Genomic DNA, 19,557 nt, shown 5'->3' with positions numbered 1-19,557 from the left:
ACATTTGATGCCTAAAACAGAGACTGTCAAAGAATCTTGAAATGTCTAGGTAGGAAGTTTAGGCCAAGAAGTCAACTAGTGTATCCCTCTGACCATGTTATTTTGTGGGTTTTTTGTTTGTTTGTTTGCGAGACAGAGTCTTGTGCAGTGGTGAAATCTCGGCTCTCTGAAATCTCCACCTCCCAGGTTCAAGTGATTCTCCTGCCTCAGCCCCCTGAGTCACTGAAATTACAGGCACATGCCACCACACCCGGCTAATTTTTGTATTTTTAGTAGAGACGAGGTTTCATTATGTTGGCCAGGTTGGTCTCAAACTCCTAATCTCAAGTGACCCACCCACCTTGGCCTCCCAAAGTGTTGGGATTACAAGTATGAGCCACCGCACCCGGCCCCACTCAATATTGCTCTTGCACCATCATTCAAAATGTCAGGCAGGGTGTGTTGGCTCACACCTGTAATCCCAGCACTTTGGGAGGCCGAGGCGGGCAGATCATGAGGTCAGGAGATGGAGACCATCCTGGCTAACATGGTGAAACCCTGTCTCTTCTAAAAATACAAAAAAAAAAAAAAAAAAAAAAAATTAGCTGGGTGTGGTGGTGCAAGCCTATAATCCCAGCTACTTGGGAGCCTGAGGCAAGAGAATCCGCGCCACTGCACTCCAGCCTGGGTGACAGAGTGAGACTTGGTGTCAAAAAAAAAAAAAGTCAACAAAATAAAAAGAGCAAATCTTATGTTAGCATTGTTACAAAAATGATTTTGACCTCTTGGACTTCTTGAGAGGATTTGGAGACCACACTTTGAGAAATGATGCCCTACAGGCACCAAACTTCTTGGTGTGGCCCAGATAGCTCTCCATGACCTGCCCCTGCCAACCTCTCCAGCCCCGTCTCTCATACCATTCCATCTCTAATCAAGCCCATGCTTCAGCTGGGAAGAATAGACTCATTCTGCAGAGAAAGAGACCTGGCTCTAGAACCAAAACCAAGCTGCCTAGTTGCTCAAGAAGTGATATTCTTTTTTTTTTTTTTTTTTTGAGATGGAGTTTTGTTCTTGTCACCCAGGCTGGAGTGCAATGGCATGATCTCGGCTCACTGCAACCTCTGCCTCCTGGGTTCAAGTGATTCTCCTGCCTCAGCCTCCCGAGTAGCTGTGATTACAGGCATGAGCCACCACACCCAGCTAATTTTTGTATTTTTAGTAGAGAAGGGGTTTCACCATGTTGGCCAGGTTAGTCTCAAACTCCTGACCTCAGGTGATCCACCCACCTTGGCCTCCCAAAGTGCTGGGATTATAGGAATGAGGCACTGCTTCCAGCCAAGAAGTGGCATTCTTTCATGCTTCCAACCTCTGGGTGATATGATTTGGATCTGTGTCCCCACCCAAATCTCATCTTGTAGCTCCCATAATTCCCATGTGTTGTGGGAGGAACCCAGTGGAAGATGATTGAATCATGGGAGTGGGTCTTTCCTGTGCTGTTCTTGTGATAGTGAATGGGTCTTACGAGATCTGATTGTTTTAAAAAACAGGAGTTTCTCTGCATAAGCTCTTTTTTTGCCTGCTGCCACTCATGTAAGACGTGACTTGCTCCTCCTTGCCTTCCACCATGATTGTGAGGCTTCCCCAGCCAACCAGAACTGTAAGTCATTAAACCTCTTTCTTTTGTAAATTGCCCAGTCTCCAGTATGTCTTTATCAGCAGCATGAAAATGGACTAATACACTGGGCCTTTGCTTGAGCTGCTCACCCTGCCCAGAAGCCCCCTTCCCTTCTGGTGAGCTCCTATTCAGTCATCAAGGTCTAGTTCAAATATCATTTCCCCTGTGAAGCCTCCCCTTTCCCTTCAGTATACACTTACACTATTTTGTACAACTTTCATTTATAAAACTTAATACATTATAGAGTTCTGTGGTCTGAATGTATTCCCCCAAAATGCATATATTGAGACTTAGTCACCAGTGTGATGGTAAGAAGAGGTGGGGCCTTTAGGAGGTGATTAAGTCATAAGGTCAGAGCTCTCATGAATGGGATTAGTAACCTTATAAAAAAGGTTCAAGCCTGGGTGCAGTGGCTCACGCCTGTAATCCTAACAGTTTGGGAGGCTAAGTGGGGAGGATCACTTGAGCTCAGGAGTTTGAGACCAGCCTGGGCAACATAATGAGACCCTGTCTCTTAAAAAAAAAATAATTTAATAAAAAATTTTTAAACTTAATTTTTTCTTTTTTTTAATTCAAGAGAGCTGTCTTCCCCTTCCCCCACGTGAGGATGTAGCCACAAGGTACCATCTACGGAGCACAGAACAAGCCCTTAGCAGACACCGAATCTGCCAGTGCCTTGAGCTTGGACTTCCCAGACTACAGAACTATGAGAAATGAGTTTCTATTACTTATAAATTATGCAGTCTAAGGAATTGTGTGATAGCAGCCAGAGAGACTAAGACATTCTGGTTCACAGGACCTTATCAACAACTCAGACATCCCCAAACTGAAAACTGGACCTTATTTATTAACGTACTCAGTTCTTAAACTTGTCCTGAATGGATGTGAGGTTATTTATCATCTTTAAAAAAAAAATCTTATTTAGTGTGAATATCCATACATTTCACTGCAGCAATATTGTGTTTGATACTGAGGTGTTGCTGCAGGCCCCACTGGAGTACCATGAGAATCATGGCCCATATTACCTTTCTAAAATCTAATAAATCCTGAAATCTAAAACCTATATGACTCCCAAGGATTTGGGTGAGGGATTGTGGGCTTGTATTATGTTTCCTTGAGTATGTCCGCCTCTTCTGCTTAGCTGATATCTGTTAGGAGGGTACCATGCCCTAAACACGTCTGTATCCCAGATTCCAGCAGAGTGCCTGGTATGTGGTCGCATGAAGCAAAGTCTGTAGTGGCACACGTTGAGCTTATGAATTCCCATAACTCTATGGAGAAGTCCCACACCAAATTTTAAGGAGCAGATCGGATTTCAGAATTGCAGGGTAGAGTTCAGGTTACAACGACAGATTGCACATATGCGTCTAATTTTGCTCCCTCCTGAAACCTCACTGAAACTTCTGGAAGAGGAATACTTTTTTAAAAAGAGACATAAACCCACAATGTTGAGAAAAGCAGGATGGGAAAGCACGGCCACAAGAGGGGAGGGACGGGGGGTCACTGGTTGTCAGGCCTGGGAAAGCCTGACAAATGAGTCCCAGGCAGCCGTGGGAAGGCTGAGCATGGATGCGATTGACAGGACAGACTCTGCCAAAGACAGAGAGCTGGCAGCGCCAGGTCCCTCTGCGAGTGAAGGGGGTGATGGTGGTGCTAAAATAAGAAAGACTGGTGGGGGAAGTTATTTAGGAAGCTCTTAGACCCCTAGATCCCCTCCCACCTCACACCCCCGCGCCCCCACAGCGGAAGTCTGGAAGATTATTCTCAGGAGAGGGTAAAACAAAGCTGCTCTGAATCGGGGGATGCCAGGCACATTGAGGACATGAGTACTGCTCAGAAAAGCCAGGGATAAAGGAGTCAAATGTATCTTAATGTTGAACGTGGCAACACCATACGCATACCCTTCCAGGCCTGCCACTCTGCTTGTTTCCTGGGACCCTGACAACCAAACCCTTACCCCCCAGGCAGAGGACCGGAAGATGACTAGCTTAAAGAGAAAACAAGAACACTGGATTGGGTTTCCCAGCAAATAGCCACCCAGACCACCCTGCTGCAAAGTTTGAGTGGATGGTGCCTGGTGCTCAAGCTCCCAATTAACTTTGTAGCTTTTTATTGAGAAGAGAGCTAAGAAATACCTCACATTGAAGAAAAACCTTGAACATGGAAGAGAGAAACCAAAACAGACAGGACCAGACAGGATCAAAGCAACCAGGAAGAAACAGACACCATGGATCTGGTATGGTGTCTCACGCCTGTAATTCCAGCACTTTGGGAGGCTGAGGCGGGTAGATCACCTGAGGTCAGGAGTTCGAGACCAGCTTGGCCAACATGGTGAAACCTCTATCTCTACTAAACATACAAAAATTAGCCAGGCTTGGTGGTGTGTGCCTGTAATCCCAGCTACTTGGGAGGCTGCAGCAGGAGAATCGCTTGAACCCGGGAGGTGGAGGTTGCAGTGAGCTGAGATTGCACCACTGCACTCCAGTCTGGGTAACAGTGAAACTCTGTCTCAAAAAACAAAAAAGAAACAGACACCAAACACCATGCATGGAGTTAAAAAAAAAAATCATTTTGTCTTTAGAGAGATAAAAGATTATTGCATCCCACAACTGAAACAAAAACAGGGTTCCGTTTGGTAACATTCAAAGATTTAGAAAGAGCTTTAGAAATTAAAGATAGGATTGTTGACGCTTTAAAAAATCAATAAAAGGGTTGGAAGATCAAGTTGAGGAACCACTGAAGAAATTAGAGCAAGGGCCGGGTGCGGTGGCTCATACCTGTAATCCCAGCACTATGGGAGGCCGAGGCAAGAGGGTCACTTGAGCTCAGGAGTTCAAGACCAACTTGGGCAACATAAAAAAAGCCCTCTCTCTGGCCAGGCGCAGTGGCTCACACCTGTAATTCCATCACTTTGGGAGGCTGAGGCAGGCAGATCAGCAGATAGAGACCATCCTGGCTAACATGGTGAAACCGCGTCTCTACTAAAAATACAAAAAAACTAGCCAGGCATGGTGGCGGGCGCCTGTAGTCCCAGCTACTAGGGAGGCTGAGGCAGGAGAATGGCGTGAACCTGGGAGGTGGAGCTTGCAGTGAGCTGAGATCACGCCACTGCACTCCAGCCTGGGTGACAGAGCGAGACTCCGTGTCAAAAAACAAACAAACAAAAACCAAAAACAAACAAAACAGAAAAAAAAAAAGCCCTGTCTCTAAAAAAATAATAATAATTTTAAGTTAGCCAAGCATGGTGGCATGTACCTGCAGTCCTGGCTACTTGGGAAACTGAGATAGGAGGATCGCTTGAGCCCGGGAGTTCGGGGCTGCAGGGAGATGATCTCACCACTGCACTCCAGCCTGGGTGACAGAGCAAAAAAACAAAAGAAAGAAGAGAAATTAGAGCAACAAAGACAAAGAGACTGAAAATAGGAAAGAAGGCAGGTGCGGTGGCTCACACCTATAATCCCAACACCTTGGGAGGCCAAGGTGGGAGGATGACTTGAGTGGAGGAGTTCAAGACTAGCCTGGGCAACATAGTGAGATCCTGTCTCTGAAAAGAAAAGAAAATAAATGAAAATAAAAGGTGGAGGGGAGGGAAGGGCAGGGAAGGGCAGGTCAAGGAAGGGAAGGAAAGGGAAGGGAAGGGAGAAGGGAAGGGAGGAGGGAAGGGGGAAGGGAGAAGGGAAGGGAGGAGGGAAGGGGGAAGGGAGAAGGGAAGGGAGAAGGGAAAGGAGAAGGGAAGGGAGAAGGGAAGGGAGAAGGGACAGGAAGGGAAAAGGGAGAAGGGAAGGCAGAAGGGATGGGAAGGGAAAGGAAGGGAGAAGGGAAGGGAGAAAGGAAGGGAGAAGGGATGGGAAGGGAGAAGGGAGAAGGGAAGGGAGAAGGGATGGGAAGGGAGAAGGGAGAAGAGATGGGAAGGGAAGGGAGAAGGGATGGGAAGGGAGAAGCAGGGAAGGGAAGGGGGAAGGGAGAAGGGAAGGGAAGGGAAGGCAAGGGGGAAGGGAAGGGAGAAGGGAAGGGAAGGGAAGGGAAGAGAAGAGAAGAGAAGGGAAGGGAAGAGAAAGGAAGGGAATCCAGTCTGGGAGATCCAACATCAGAATAACAGGGGTTCTAGAAGAGAACAGAGAGAATGGGGAGGAAATCATTAATGATCAACTCAAGAAATTTTGCAGAATGCATATTTCTACACTGAAGAACCCTCACAAGTGCTGAGCAAGATGGATGAAAATAGACCCAAGTTAAGGTACGTTGCTGTGAAATTTCAGAATCCTGAGAGGAAAAAGGAAGATTCTATAAGCTTCCAGAGAGGGAAACACAGAATCAGAATAGCTTCAGTATTCCCATAGCAACACTGAGGGCTAGACGATGACCCAATGCTGTCAAAGGTTGGAATGAAAACGATCTGTAATCTGTAATGTAAAATTCTATTATCAGTGCAGGTATTAACCAGGTATGAATATTTGAAATGTTTAGACATAAAAATTTCCAAACATCTAAGATCTCAAAATACTTTCCCACGCAGGCTTTCTTGGCAAGCTACAGGAGGAGAAGCTCCATTGAAACAAAGAGTACAGATTAGGGAATGAGAAGATGTGGGTTCAGTAAGCCAGAGGTCTACTACATGAGAGAGTGACAGTCATACCCCAGACAGTGTGGAGGGAGGGCAACCAGTCCAACCAGTCCCCAGGAAGTCCTGTGACTCAGCAGATAGGCAGACATGTTTGGGTGTTACCACCAAGATCCTAGCTTGAGTTCAAGGAAGAAAATGCTGAGAGACGTGGAGTTTTAACTGTTGTCTAGGGCTGACTTGCCTTGACCAGGTGCTAGAAGAGTTTCTATTCTCCCTGCAGGCGTTTCAGCTTGGTGTTAGTGTTCAGCTTTGGCCCGCTCCAGAGACCTGAAGATAGACCAATGAGCGGAGAAGCGAAACAAACAAACAAACCAAAAAATGGAGCAGGCTCCTCTCCTTGAATGTTTTTCTGCCAGACTGCAGTTCACAGCTCACCCTACAGCTCTTTCAGAGGCCCCCATATCCACGGACTTCCCTGGAAGCCCCTCTTGCAGACAGCTGGAGCCAGACCGTGGATCCACACTTTCGGCCCATTTTCTCCTAGGAAACCTTACCTAGTAGTAGCAATATTGCCTTTTACTTACCATGTTTTGAGCTTGCTTCTTCGTTTTCCAAAACCAAACAAGATATGGATACACATAGATAGTAAAACTGCACAGGAGTGCAAGGGAATGTTTAACTAAAAAATCAGAATAGAGCCCTGGTTCAGTGACTCACACCTGTAATCCCAGCACTCTGGGAGGCTGAGACTGGAGGATCACTTGAGGCCAGGAGTTCAAGACCAGCCTGGGCAATATAGTGAGACCCTTTCTCTACAAAAATATAAATAAATTTTTTCTTTTTTTTTTTGAGACAGTCTTGCTCTGTCACCCAGGCTGGAGTGCAGTGGCATGATCTTGGCTCACTGCAACCTCTGCCTCACAGGTTCATGCAACTCTCCTGCCTCAGCCTCCCAAGTAGCTGGGACTACAGGCACCCACCACCACACCTGGATAATTTTTGTATTTTTTGTTTGTTTGTTTGTTTGTTTGAAACGGAGTTTCGCTCTTGTTGCCCAGGCTGGAGTGCAACGGCACGATCTCGGCTCACTGCAATCTCCGCCTCCCGGATTTACACGATTCTCGTGCCTCAGCCTCCCGAGTAGCTGGGATTATAGGCACCCACCATCATGCCCACTAATTTTTGTATGTTTAATAGAGACGAGGTTTCACAATGTTGGCCAGGCTGGTCTTCTACTCCTGACCTCAGGTGATCTGCCTGCCTTGGCCTCAAAAAGTGCTGGGACTACAGGCATGAGCCACCGCACCCCAGCCAATGAACTAATTTTTAAAATCTGAATAGAGGTTACCCTTGTAGGACTAGAAAGTGATGTTATCTTGGAGGGCCTATGGTAGAATTTTTAAGTGCTAGAAATATTTTTATTTTAATTTTTTTTTAATTTTTGTATGGAGATAGGGTCTTTGGGAGGCTGAGGCAGGAGAATCGCTTGAGCCCTGGAGGCAGAGGTTACAATGAAGGGAGACTGTGCCACTGCACTCCAGCCTGGGTGACAGAGCGAGACTCTGTCTCAAACAAAAAAAAAAAAAGAGAGAGAGAGAGAGACAGGGTTTCCTTATGTTGTCCAAGCTGTTCTTGAACTCCTGATCTCAAGCAGTCCTCCTGCCTCACCCTCCCCCAAATACTGGGATTACAGGCATGAGCCACTGCACCCCTTTTATTTCTTATTTATTTATTTTTATGCTTTAATTTATAGAGATGGGGTCTTGCTTTGTTGCCCAGGCTGGTCTTGACTTCCTGGCCTATCAATTCTTATATATTTATGATTCAATTCACAATAAAAACCTTTAAATCTAGGAAAAATTAGGGGATTTTAAGTGACAACTCAGAGATCAGATTTTTTTTTTTTTTTTTTTTTTTTTTGAGAATGAGTTTCACTCTTGTTGTCCAGGCTGGAGTGCAATGGCACTATCTTGGCTCACTGCAACCTCTGCCTCCTGGGTTCAAGCAATTCTCCTGCCTCAGCCTCCTGAGTAGCTGGGATTACAGGCACCCACCACCACGCCCAGCTAATTTTTGAATTTTTAGTAGAGACAGGGTTTCACCATGTTGGCCAGGCTGGTCTTGAATTCCTGACCTCAGGTGATCCGCCTGCCACGGCCTCCCAAAGTACTGGGATTACAGGTGTGAGCCACCATGCCCAGCCAGATATTTGATTTATAGGTTTATTTCTCCTATCACTCTGTTTAATGCTGGTAGCTACCCGTCCCCCATCACTCACACCCATCCCAGGCCCTTTCAATTCCTCTTACTCTGCTCTATTTTTTTTTTAATAGTTCTTATTAGCTTCTTCTATCCTCTAGAATAGTGGATCTCAACATTTTTGGTTCAAAAATTTTGATGTTAAATATTATTGAAGACTTCAAATAACTTGTTATAATGGGTTATATCTGTTGATATTTACCATATTTGAAATTAAAACAGAGAAAATTTCAAAAAACAGAATGACAAGCACACGTTCTTTTTTTTTTTTTTTTTTTTTTTTTTTTTGAGCCAGCATCTCACTCTGTTGCCCAGGTTGGAGTGCACTGGGGCGATCTGAGCTTACTGCAACCTCTGCCCGCTGGGTTCAAACAATTCCCCTGCCTCAGCCTCTGGAGTAGCTGGGACTACAGGCCCACGCCACCATGCCTGGCTAATTTTTGTAATTTTAGTAGAGACGGGGTTTCACCATGTTGGCCATGCTGGTCTCGAACTCCTGACCTCAGGTGATCTGCCTGCCTTGGCCTCCCAAAGTGCTGGAATTACAGGTGTGAGCCCCCGCACCTGGCCAGGCACACGTTCTATAAGCTGCTGAACATCATGTCACCTCTGGAAAGCTTCATTGTGCACTCAGGAGAGAATTAGAGTGAAAAAGGTAAATAACAATCGGCTTTTTTTCTTTTTACCTTGAGGATCCCCTGAAAGGGTCTTAGGGATCCCCAGGGACACCCAGATAACACTGAGAAACATTGTTTAGGACAATACCCAGCACATAGTGGGCACTGCTCAACACACACATACTTAGTGTCTGTTACACTGAAAGCCTTTTGCTAGGTGCTATTGGCGATACAAAAATAGGACAGAGTCAATCCCTCCTCTTGACTCACATGCCTCAGATTTCCTCACTGGGATTCTGGTAGTAGAATATTTGTATTCAACCCAATTCTCTGTTTCTAGAGAAGCCCTTTCAGGGTAGCAGTCCTGGTGTTAGTCCAAGAAGAGTCTATAGCCAGCCCACGCTGTCAACCAGTCTGGAGGCTGATAACGTACTCGGGCATTCCTTTCAAGACTAGTCGCTGTCTTGGAAATGGTGAAAGATGAACACGTATGGCTCCCATCTGAGCAGAGCCAAAGAAAGCAGTGGATGGAAGAGAGATGACCTCCCCAGAATGTGTCCTTGGGTAGGTCACTTTCCCAATCAGTTTCCTCCTCTGCTAATTGGGGTCGCACAAGTAGAGTCTAGTCCACAAGTGACAGCTGAGAGTGTTTCCACTGTTACCATTCTACAGTTCTATTAATGTCTGTGCAACTTATCTGGAGTCTAAGCGCTTAGTCATGAGTCTTCCATCTGATTAGTGTATGAACCCAGCTGAGCCACCTGTGGAAATGAGCCTGTTTCAGAGACATTTGATCTCCTTCCCAGAAAGCCCCAGGGCCACCGGAGACATTCCAGGTAGTGAGGCAATAAAAAAAAAAAAAAAAAAAAAAAGTAAAAAAACTCATCACCTGATGTAAAAAAGAAAACTAAGCCCACCTTCCATTTCATCTGGAATCCAATCTTGGCTAAGCCAAATGATGAAGTCATAGACGGACTCCAGCGAGAAGAGCTGATCTGATTCATTCCCATTTGTTTGGTTTATTCATTCATTCAACAAATATCTTTTTATTATTATTATTTTTTAGACGGAGTCTCCCTCTGTTGCCCAGGCTGGAGTGCAGTGGTATGATCTCAGCTCAGTGAAACCTCCGCCTCCTGTGTTCAAGCGATTCTCCTGCCTCAGCCTCCCAAGTAGCTGGGATTATAGGCACATGCCACCAGTCCTGGCTAATTTTTGTATTTTTAGTAGAGACAGGGTTTCCCCATGTTGACCGTGCTGGTCTCGAACTCCTGACCTCAGGTGATCCACCTCCCTTGGCCTCCCAAAGGGCTGGGATTACAGGCGTGAGCCACCGTGCCCCACCTTCAACCAATATTCTTGAGCAATCATCATTTGTTCTTTGCTGTGTAAGATCCTGAGAATATCATTTTGACTAAAAAGAGATCTCAGGCCCGGGCATGGTGGCTCACGCCTGTAATCCCAGCACTTTGGGAGGCCGAGGCGGGCGGATCACGAGGTCAGGAGATCGAGACCATCCTGGCTAACACGGTGAAACCCTGTCTCTACTAAAAATACAAAAAAAATTAGCCGGGTGTGGTGGCAGGCACCCGTACTCCCAGCTACTAGGGAGGCTGAGGCAGGAGAACGTCGTGAACCCAGGAGGTGGAGCTTGCAGTGAGCAGAGATCGTGCCATGCATTCCAGCCTGGGCGACGGAGCAAGACTCCGTCTCAAAACAACAACAACAACAAACAACAAGAACAACAAAGAGATCTCTACAAGCGAGTACTCATTTAGTTTTTCAAAATAATTAATTGCCAACATTGAAATATCTGGAGATTTCTCATAAAAATTCAAATTTCCAGCATTACATGAAAATTGGTTTGCTACTGCCCCTAGTTGCCTCCACTTGCCACAATCAGGCACTTACCCTGCCTGGCCCTTGTAGGTATCTGAGTTTGCCGCCCTTGATGTTCACTTGGAAGGGAGGCTAGACATGTTAATAAGTAAGGATGTGGCTGGTGCGGTGGCTCATGCCTGTAATCCCAGCACTTTGGGAGGCCAAGGAGGGCATATCACCTGAGGTCAGAAGTTCAAGACCAGCCTAGCCAACATCAACATGGTGAAACCCCCTGTCTACTGAAAATACAAATATTAGCTGGACATGGTGGCAGGTTCCTGTAATCCCAGCTACTCTAGAGGCTGAGGCAGGGAGAATCGCTTGAACCCAGGAGGTGGAGGTTGCAGTGGGCCAAGATTGCACCATTGCACTCCAGCTTAGGCGACAGAGCAAGACTCCGTCTCAAAAAAAAAAAAAAAGTACGGATGTGTTCAGTGCTTCACTGGAACTGTTGCAAAGTGCTAAGGAGGCATGAGGAGGGTGGGGATAGCGGGCATCAGGAAAGATTTCACAGAGTAAGGTGATGTATCACATGGGCCTTGAAGGAGTCCTTCACTCTGTGTTTCTTGACACACTTACTGTGTGTTCCAAACATTCCATTCCTAAAGTGGGGGTGGTGGGATGGGGATGGAGAGAATGAGGGAGAGAGATTCCAGCCTCCACAGAGCCCCCAGTCTGGGAGGGAGGCAGAGAGCAAAAATAGAATGTAGAATTCCAGTGCAATGCCTGTAAGGCATGCTACAGTGCCAAAGTAGGGTCTTTTTAAAAAATTATTATTTTATTTTATTATTTATTTATTTATTTGAGACAGAGTTTCACTCTTGTTGCCCAGGCTGGAGTGCAATGGCGTGATCTCGGCTCACTGTAACCTCCGCCTCCCAGGTTCAAGTGATTCTCCTGCCTCAACCTCCCGAGTAGCTGGGATTACAGGCATGTGCCACCATGCCCGGTTAATTTTGTATTTTTAGTAGAGATGGGGTCTCTCCATGTTGGTCAGGCTGGTTTCGAATTCCCGACCTCAGGTGATTCGAAGGAGGCTCCCTGCCTCGGCCTCCCAAAGTGCTGAGATTACAGGTGTGAGCCACCGCGCCTGGTCTATTTTTTTTTTTTTTTTTTTTGAGACGGAGTCTCACTCTGTCACCCAGGCTGGAGTACAGTGGTGCAATCCTGACTCACTGCAACCTCCATCTCCCGGATTCAAGTGATTCTCCTGCTTCGGGACTGAGTAGCTGGGATTATAGGTGTGGGCCACCACACCCAGCTAATTTTTGTATTTTTATTAGAAATGGGGTTTCACCATGTTGGCTAGACTGGTCTTGAACTTCTGACCTCAAATGATCTGCCCACCTTGGCCTCCCAAAGTTCTGAGATTACAGATGTGAACCATCGCGCCCAGCCAATTATTTTATTTTTATTTTTGTTTTTATTTTTTGAGACAGGGTCTCGCTTTGTCACCCAGGCTGGAGTGCAGTGGTGCGAACATGGCTCAGTGCAGCCTCGACCTTCCTGGGCTCAAGCAATCCTCCCTCCTTAGCCTCCTGAGTGGCTGCGACTACAGGCACACACCACCATGCTTGGCTATTTTGTATTTTTTGTAGAGATGGGGTTTCACTATGTTGCCCAGGCTGGTCTCGAATTCCTGGGTAAGCGAATCCTCTGCTTCAGCCTTCCAAAGTGCTGAGATTCCAGGCATGAACCATCACGCCTGGCTCATCTAACATTTTTGTTGCTCATTTTTTCTCTCTCCTCACCAGAATATACATTTTAGGAGACTAGGGTTCTGGTCTGTCATCTTCATGGGTCACATTCCCAGTCCCTGGAACATTTCTGCCAATCAGGATCCACTCAGCATTTGTTGAATGTGAATGAACTATGCATGAAGCATGCTGATGGATACGAAGGGACAGTTGAGAAATTCTAAATTACAGGCTGGAAAGAAAGGGCTCCTGAGACATCCAAGGTGGAGACTGGCTGACCCCAGCTGTAATGGCCACAAAGTCAAGATGTTGACAAGAAGCCAGAAGCCTCTCCATAAGCATGTGGGGAGCCAGCACTGGGTGTCAGAGGTTCAGTGGCCAGAGATATCAATGTTATTGTTTAAGAGTAACTGGCACTCACATTGTCTGTTTTGTGCTGTAAGGCTGAGTAGGCAGAAGAAGAATTGCTCGGCCGGGCGCGGTGGCTCACGCCTGTAATCCCAGCACTTTGGGAGGCCGAGGCGGGTGGATCATGAGGTCAGGAGATCGAGACCATCCTGGCTAACAAGGTGAAACCCCGTCTCTACTAAAAATACAAAAAATTAGCCGGGCGCGGTGGCGGGCGCCTGTAGTCCCAGCTACTGGGGAGGCTGAGGCAGGAGAATGGCGTGAACCCGGGAAGCGGAGCTTGCAGTGAGCCGAGATTGTGCCACTGCAGTCCGCAGTCCGGCCTGGGCGACAGAGCGAGACTCCGTCTCAAAAAAAAAAAAAAAGAAGAATTGCTCAACAGAGTCAACATACAACCTACAGATTGAGAGAAAATTTTTGCAATCTATCCATCTGACAAAGGTCTGGTATGCAGCATCTATAAAGTACTTAAACAAATTTACAAGAAAAAAACAACCCCATTAAAAAATAGGCAAAGGGATATAAACAGACACTTTTCAAAAGAAGACATACTTGGGCCAGAAGCAGTGGCTCAAACCTGTACTCCCAGCCCTTTGGGAGGCCAAGGGGGCAGATTGCTTGAGGCTAGGAGTTTGAGACCAGCCTGGCCAACATGGTGAAACCCCATCTCTACTAAAAATACTAAAATTAGCCAGGCGTGGTGACGAGCGCCTGTAATCCCAGCTACTTGGGAGGCTGAGACAGGAGAATCACTTGAACCTGGAAGGCAGAGATTGCAGTGAGCTGAGACTGGGCCACTGCACTCCAGCCTGGGCGACGAGAGCAAAACTCCATCTCAAAAAAAAAAATAGAAGAAGAAAAGGAAGAAGACATACATGTAGCCAGCAAGCATATGAAAAAAACTCAACATCACTGATCATTAGAGAAATGCAAATCAAACCCGCAATGAGATACCATCTCACACCAGGCAGAATGGCTAATATTAAAAAGTCAAAAAATAACAGATGCTGGCGAGGCTGCGGAGAAAAAGGAATACTTATACACTGTGGAAGTGTAAATTCATTTAGCCACTGCGGAAACCAATGTGGTGATTCCTCAAAGACCTAAAAACAGAAATACCATTCAACCCTGTAATCCCATTACTGGATATATACCCAGAGAAATATAGACCAATCTATCATAAAGATACATGGATGTGTATGTCCATTGCAGCACTATTCACAATAGCAAAAACATGGAATCAACCTAAATGCCCATCAGTGGTAGACTGGATAAAGAAAATCTGGCACACATACACCGTGGAAGAGTACGCAGCCATAAAAAAGAGTGAGATCATGTCCTTTGCAGGAACATGGATGGAACTAGGGACCATCATCCTTAGCAAACTAACACAGGGACAGAAAACCAAATACCACGTTTTCATTTATAAGTTGGAGCTAAATGATGAGAACACATGGGCACATAGAGGGAAACAACAGACACTGAGGCCTATCAGAGGGTGGAGAGTGGGAGGAGGGAGAGGATCAGGAAAAATAACTAATGGGTACTAGGCTTAATACCTGGGTGATGAAAGACTGTGTACAACAAACCCCTATGACACAAGTTTAATATATAACAAACCTGCACATGTACCCCTGAACTTAAAAGTTTTTTTTTGTTTTTTTTTTTGAGACAGAGTCTCACTCTGTCATCCAGGCTGGAGTGCAGTGGTACGGTCTCCGCTCACTTCGAGCTCTGCCTCCCGAGTTTACACCCATTCTCCTGCCTCCACCTCCCGAGTAGCTGGGACTATAGGCGCCTGCCACCATGCCTGGCTAATTTTTTTAATTTTTTTTTTTATTTTTAGCAGAGACGGGGTGTCACCGTGTTAGCCAGGATGGTCTCGATCTCCTGACCTCATGATCCGCCTGCCTCAGCCTCCCAAAGTGCTGGGATTACAGGCGTGAGCCACCGCGCTTGGCCCAAAAGTTTTCTAAAAAAAGGAAATAGGTCTTTAAAAAAATATTTATTTTTAAAAAACTGACTAAACTTTGTCAATTTTTGTATATATTTATGGTGTACAGTGTGATGTTTTCATATATGTATACATTGTGGAATAATTAAATCAAACACATTATATATCCATAATCTCATATACCTACCATTTTTTGTGGTGAGAACATTTAAAATCTACTCTCCAAGTATATAATACATTAGTGGACGGGCATGGTGGCTCACGCCTGTAATCCCAGCACTTTGGGAGGCCGAGGCGGGTGGATCACCGGAGGTCGGGAGTTCGAGACCAGCCTGGCCAACATGGTGAAACCCCGTCTCCACTAAAAATAGAAAAATTAGCTGGGTGTGGTGGTGGGCGCCTTGGGTACCTCCCAGCTACTTGGGAGGCTGAGGCAGGAGAATCGCTTGAACCCAGGAGGCAGAGATTGCAGTGAGCCGAGATCATGCCACTGCACTCCAGCCTGGGCGACAGAGCGAGACTCCATCTCAAAAACAAAACAAACAAACAAATAAAACGTTAGTATAACTATAGTCACCATGTTGTGCAATACATCTTCAGAACTTATTCCTCCTGTCTAACAGAAACTTTCTACCCTTTGACCAGCAACTGCCATTCCCTTCTCCCCGACCAGCTCTGGAAACCACCATTCTCCTCTCTGCTTCTCTGAATTCAACTTTTTTAGATTCCACATAAAGCGAGATCAGGCGGTGCTTGTCTTCCTGTGCCTGGCTTATTTTATTTAGTGTAATGCTCACTCATGTTGCGAATGACAGGATTTCCTTCTTTTTTAAAGGCAGAATAGTATTCCATTGTGTATACACACCACAGGTTTTTTTTTTTTTCTATTGCTCAGGAAATAGGACTTTGAGAGGAGAAACTTCCATTCCTGTTTTAGGTGAGTTCCTTCGAAACAGAGCTTGACCCAGGGATTTGGGTGCATTGGTTTATTTGGGAGGTGATCTCAGGTTGCTCAGTGAGGCAGTGGGCAACGAAGATAGAGGAGGAAAAAAAGAGAGGAAAATGGACATTAATAGGCAAGTTACCATTGTGGACAAACAGCGCTCACTCCCACTGTGTCCTCCGAGAGACTGTGTCTCTTAAAATTATCCTACCGCCAGGTGCGGTGGCTCACACCTGTGAGCACTTTGGGAGGCCGAGGCGGGAGGATCATCTGAGGTCAGGAGTTCAAGACCAGCCTGACCAAAGTGGCAAAACCCTGTCTCTTCTAAAAAAAAAAAAAAAAATAGCCAGGTGTGGTGGCACTGGCGCATGCCTATAGTCCCACCTACTCAGGAGGCTGAAGCAGGAGAATCGCTTGAACACAGGAGATGGAGGTTGCTGTGAGCCAAGATCGCACCACTGCACTCCAGCCTGGGCAACAGAGCGAGACTCCAACTCAAAAAAAAAATTGTCTTACCAACAGGTGAGGAAGCTGAGGAATGTATACACGACTTCTTCCCCTCCTTGGGTAAGGTCTGCTCCTGGCAGGTGGTGGGGAGGGTTAGCTCTCCAGCATTCTGGGCTTGTCCTGCTCATAGGCCCAACATGCCCTACAGCCAGAGGCAGCAACCTGGCAGGCATTGAAGTTGGGAAGCAGATGATGTATGTGGGATGTGTGGGAACCGTCAGCAGAACCCGCAGGGAACATCCACAGTAGGCCAAGGGGGTGTGCGTGTGGCAACAGCATCTGTTGCTTCTCCTTTGGCCTTTGGGTACAGATTGGGAAAACGAAATCCCATGTCTTTGTCTTATCTCCAGGAGGGGTGTAGTAGAGTGGGTTATTATTCAAAAATATTCCTTGCCCTTCCCTTTGGAGGATGAAATATCCCCGCCCCATTGAAGGCAGGTTTGGCCAGGTCACTTGCTTTGGCCAACAGAATGAGAGCGGAATACCAGTGTGGCCCTTGTATCTTCTACAGTGTCTCCCTCTCTTCCCTCTGACACAGACCAGCCTAGCAGTGGCCATTAGCCTGGGTCCCAGAGTGAAGACAACATACAGCCAACCCACAATGGGTGGGTGAACAAGAACCTTTGTTCTTTTTTATTTTATTTGAGATAGAGTCTCACTCTGTTGCCCAGGCTGGAGTGCAATGGCGCAATCTTGGCTCACTGCAACCTCCACCTCCTGAGTTCAAGCTATTCTCCCACCTCAGCCTCTTGAGTAACTGGGATTATAGGAGCACGCCACAACACCCAGCTAATTTATTTATTTATTTATTTATTTAAGACAGAGTTTTGCTCTTGTTGTGCAGGCTGGAGTGCAATGGCGTGATCTTGGCTCACCACAACCTCCGCCTTTGTGTTCAACTGATTCTCCTGCCTCAGCCTCAGGAGTGGCTGGAATTACAGACTAATTTTTGTATTTTAAGTAAAGATGTGGTTTCACCATGTTGGTCAGGCTGGTCTCGCGCTCCTGGCCTCAGGTGATCCACTGGCCTTGGCCTCCCAAAGTGCCGGGATTATAGGCATGAGCCACTGCACCCGGCCTCAGCTAATTTTTTGGTATTTTTAGTAGAGATGGGGTTACACCAGGTTGGCCAGGCTGGTCTCAAACTCCTGACCTCAAGTGATCCACACCCCTCAGCTTCCCAAAGTGCTGGATTACAGGCATGAGCCACCGCGCCTGGCCTGTTCTTGTTCTTTCTGGTTGTAAGTCACTGACCATTTGGGGCTGTTTGTTCGTGCTGCATATCTTAGCCAAAGCTGACAGATGGAGTGATTTCTGGAAATGGCTTGGCTCAACTCCTTCCTGCCCTTTTCCTTAAATTTGCCTCACCACTGAGAAGGAGATTTCTGGTTTGCTTTTTGTCAAGCGGTAGCTTCTGGTTTTCCAGCTATGCCAACGGTCGTTGAGTCTATCTAATGCAAGAGTCAAGGCTCATAGCACATTCTTCCAACACAGCACATCCATTCATAGCACAACCTAGGCTGCACGCCCAGTTCAGCTGCATACTCAAACCTAGTGTTTATTGGTAATAAATCAAACATTTTGATTTCCTCTCTCTGTCTCCTGTGTCTGTCCTAAATTGGTTCCTGACTTGATGGGGAAGAGAGGTGTTATTTATTGAGCTCCTTCAAACCCCAAAAACCTTTCTGCGTGATTCCAGTCTTAGCGATTGAAATGGTTTGGCTGTGTCCGCACCCAAATCTCATCTTGAATTGTAGTTCCCATAATCCCCAAGTGTTGTGGGAGGGACCTGGTAAGAGGTAATTGAATCATGAGGGCAGTTTCCCCATCCTGTTCTTGTGATGGTGAATCTCGTGAGTTTTTTTTGAGATGGAGTCTCATTCTGTTGCCCAGGCTGGAGTGCAGTGTTGTGATCTTGGCTCACTGCAACCTCCGCCTCCCAGGGTCAAGTGATTCTCCCACCTCAGCCTCCTGAGTAGCTGGGATTTTAGGCACCTGCCACGGCACCCAGCTAATTTTTTTTTTTTTTCTTTTTGAGACAGTCTCGCTCTGTCACCCAGGCTGGAGTGCAGTGGCATGATATCGGCTCAGTGCAACCTCCGCCTCCTGGATTCAAGCAATTCTCCTGTCTCAGCCTCCCAAGTAGCTGGAACTACAGGCACACACCATCATTCCCGGCTAATTTTTGTATTTTTAGTATCGTGCACCAGCCACATCCTTACGTATTAACATGTCTAGCCTCCCTCCCAACTGAACATCAAGGGCAGCAAACTCAGATTACAGGCATGAGCCACCACGCCCAGTGATCTGACGGTTTTATAAGTGGCTTTTCTCTCCTTCATTCTGCACTTCTCCTTCATGGTGCCATGTGAAGAAGAACACGTTTGCTTCCCCTTCCATCATGACTGTAAGTTTCCTGAGGTCTCCCCAGCCGTGCTAAACTGCGAGTCAATTAGAACTGTTTCCTCTACAAATTACCCAGTCTCAGGTATTTCTACATAGCAGTGTGAGAACGAACTCATACAGTAAATTGGTACCTTAGACTGTGGGGTGCTGCTATAAATAAACCTGAAAATGTGGAAGCAACTTTGGAATTGGGTAACAGGCAGAGTTGGAACAGTTCGGAGGGCTCAGAATAAGACAGGAAAGTGTGGGAACATTTGGAACTTCCTAGAGACTTGGTGGGCTCAGAAGACAGAAAGATGTGGGAAGGTTTGGAACTTCCTAGAGACTTGTTGAATGGCTTTGACCAAAATGCTGATAATGATATGGACAATAAAGTCCAGGCTAAGGTGGTCTCAGATGGAGATGAGGAACTTGTTGGGAACTGGAGTAAAGGTCACTCTTGCTATGCAGAGAGACTGGTGGCATTTTGCCCCTGCCCTAGAGATCTGTGAATCTTTGAACTTGAGAGAGATGAGTTAGGGTATCTGGTGGAATAAATTTCTAAGTGGCAAAGCTTTCAAGAGGAAGCACAACATAAAAGTTTGGAAAATTTGCAGCCTGACAATGCAATAGAAAATAAAAATCCATTTTCTGTGGAGAAATTCAAGCTGGCTACAGAAATTTGCTA

General features: G+C 46.3%; 1 annotated feature.

The window, feature by feature from the left end:
• Window positions 5,898–7,097: an enhancer, noted in NCBI's record as "MED14-independent group 3 enhancer chr22:36448074-36449273 (GRCh37/hg19 assembly coordinates)". NCBI's record gives its function as "activates an origin of replication core promoter dependent on BRD2, BRD4, P300/CBP and CDK7 cofactors, and independent of MED14, by STARR-seq in HCT116 cells {active_cell/tissue: HCT116}" and the evidence as "EXISTENCE:reporter gene assay evidence [ECO:0000049][PMID:35650434]".

The sequence above is a fragment of the Homo sapiens genome, chromosome 22 (assembly GCF_000001405.40).
Source record: "Homo sapiens chromosome 22, GRCh38.p14 Primary Assembly".
Lineage (NCBI taxonomy): Eukaryota > Metazoa > Chordata > Mammalia > Primates > Hominidae > Homo > Homo sapiens.
The sequence above is the reverse complement of the archived record's forward strand: the minus strand, read 5'-3'. Positions and strand labels throughout refer to the sequence as shown.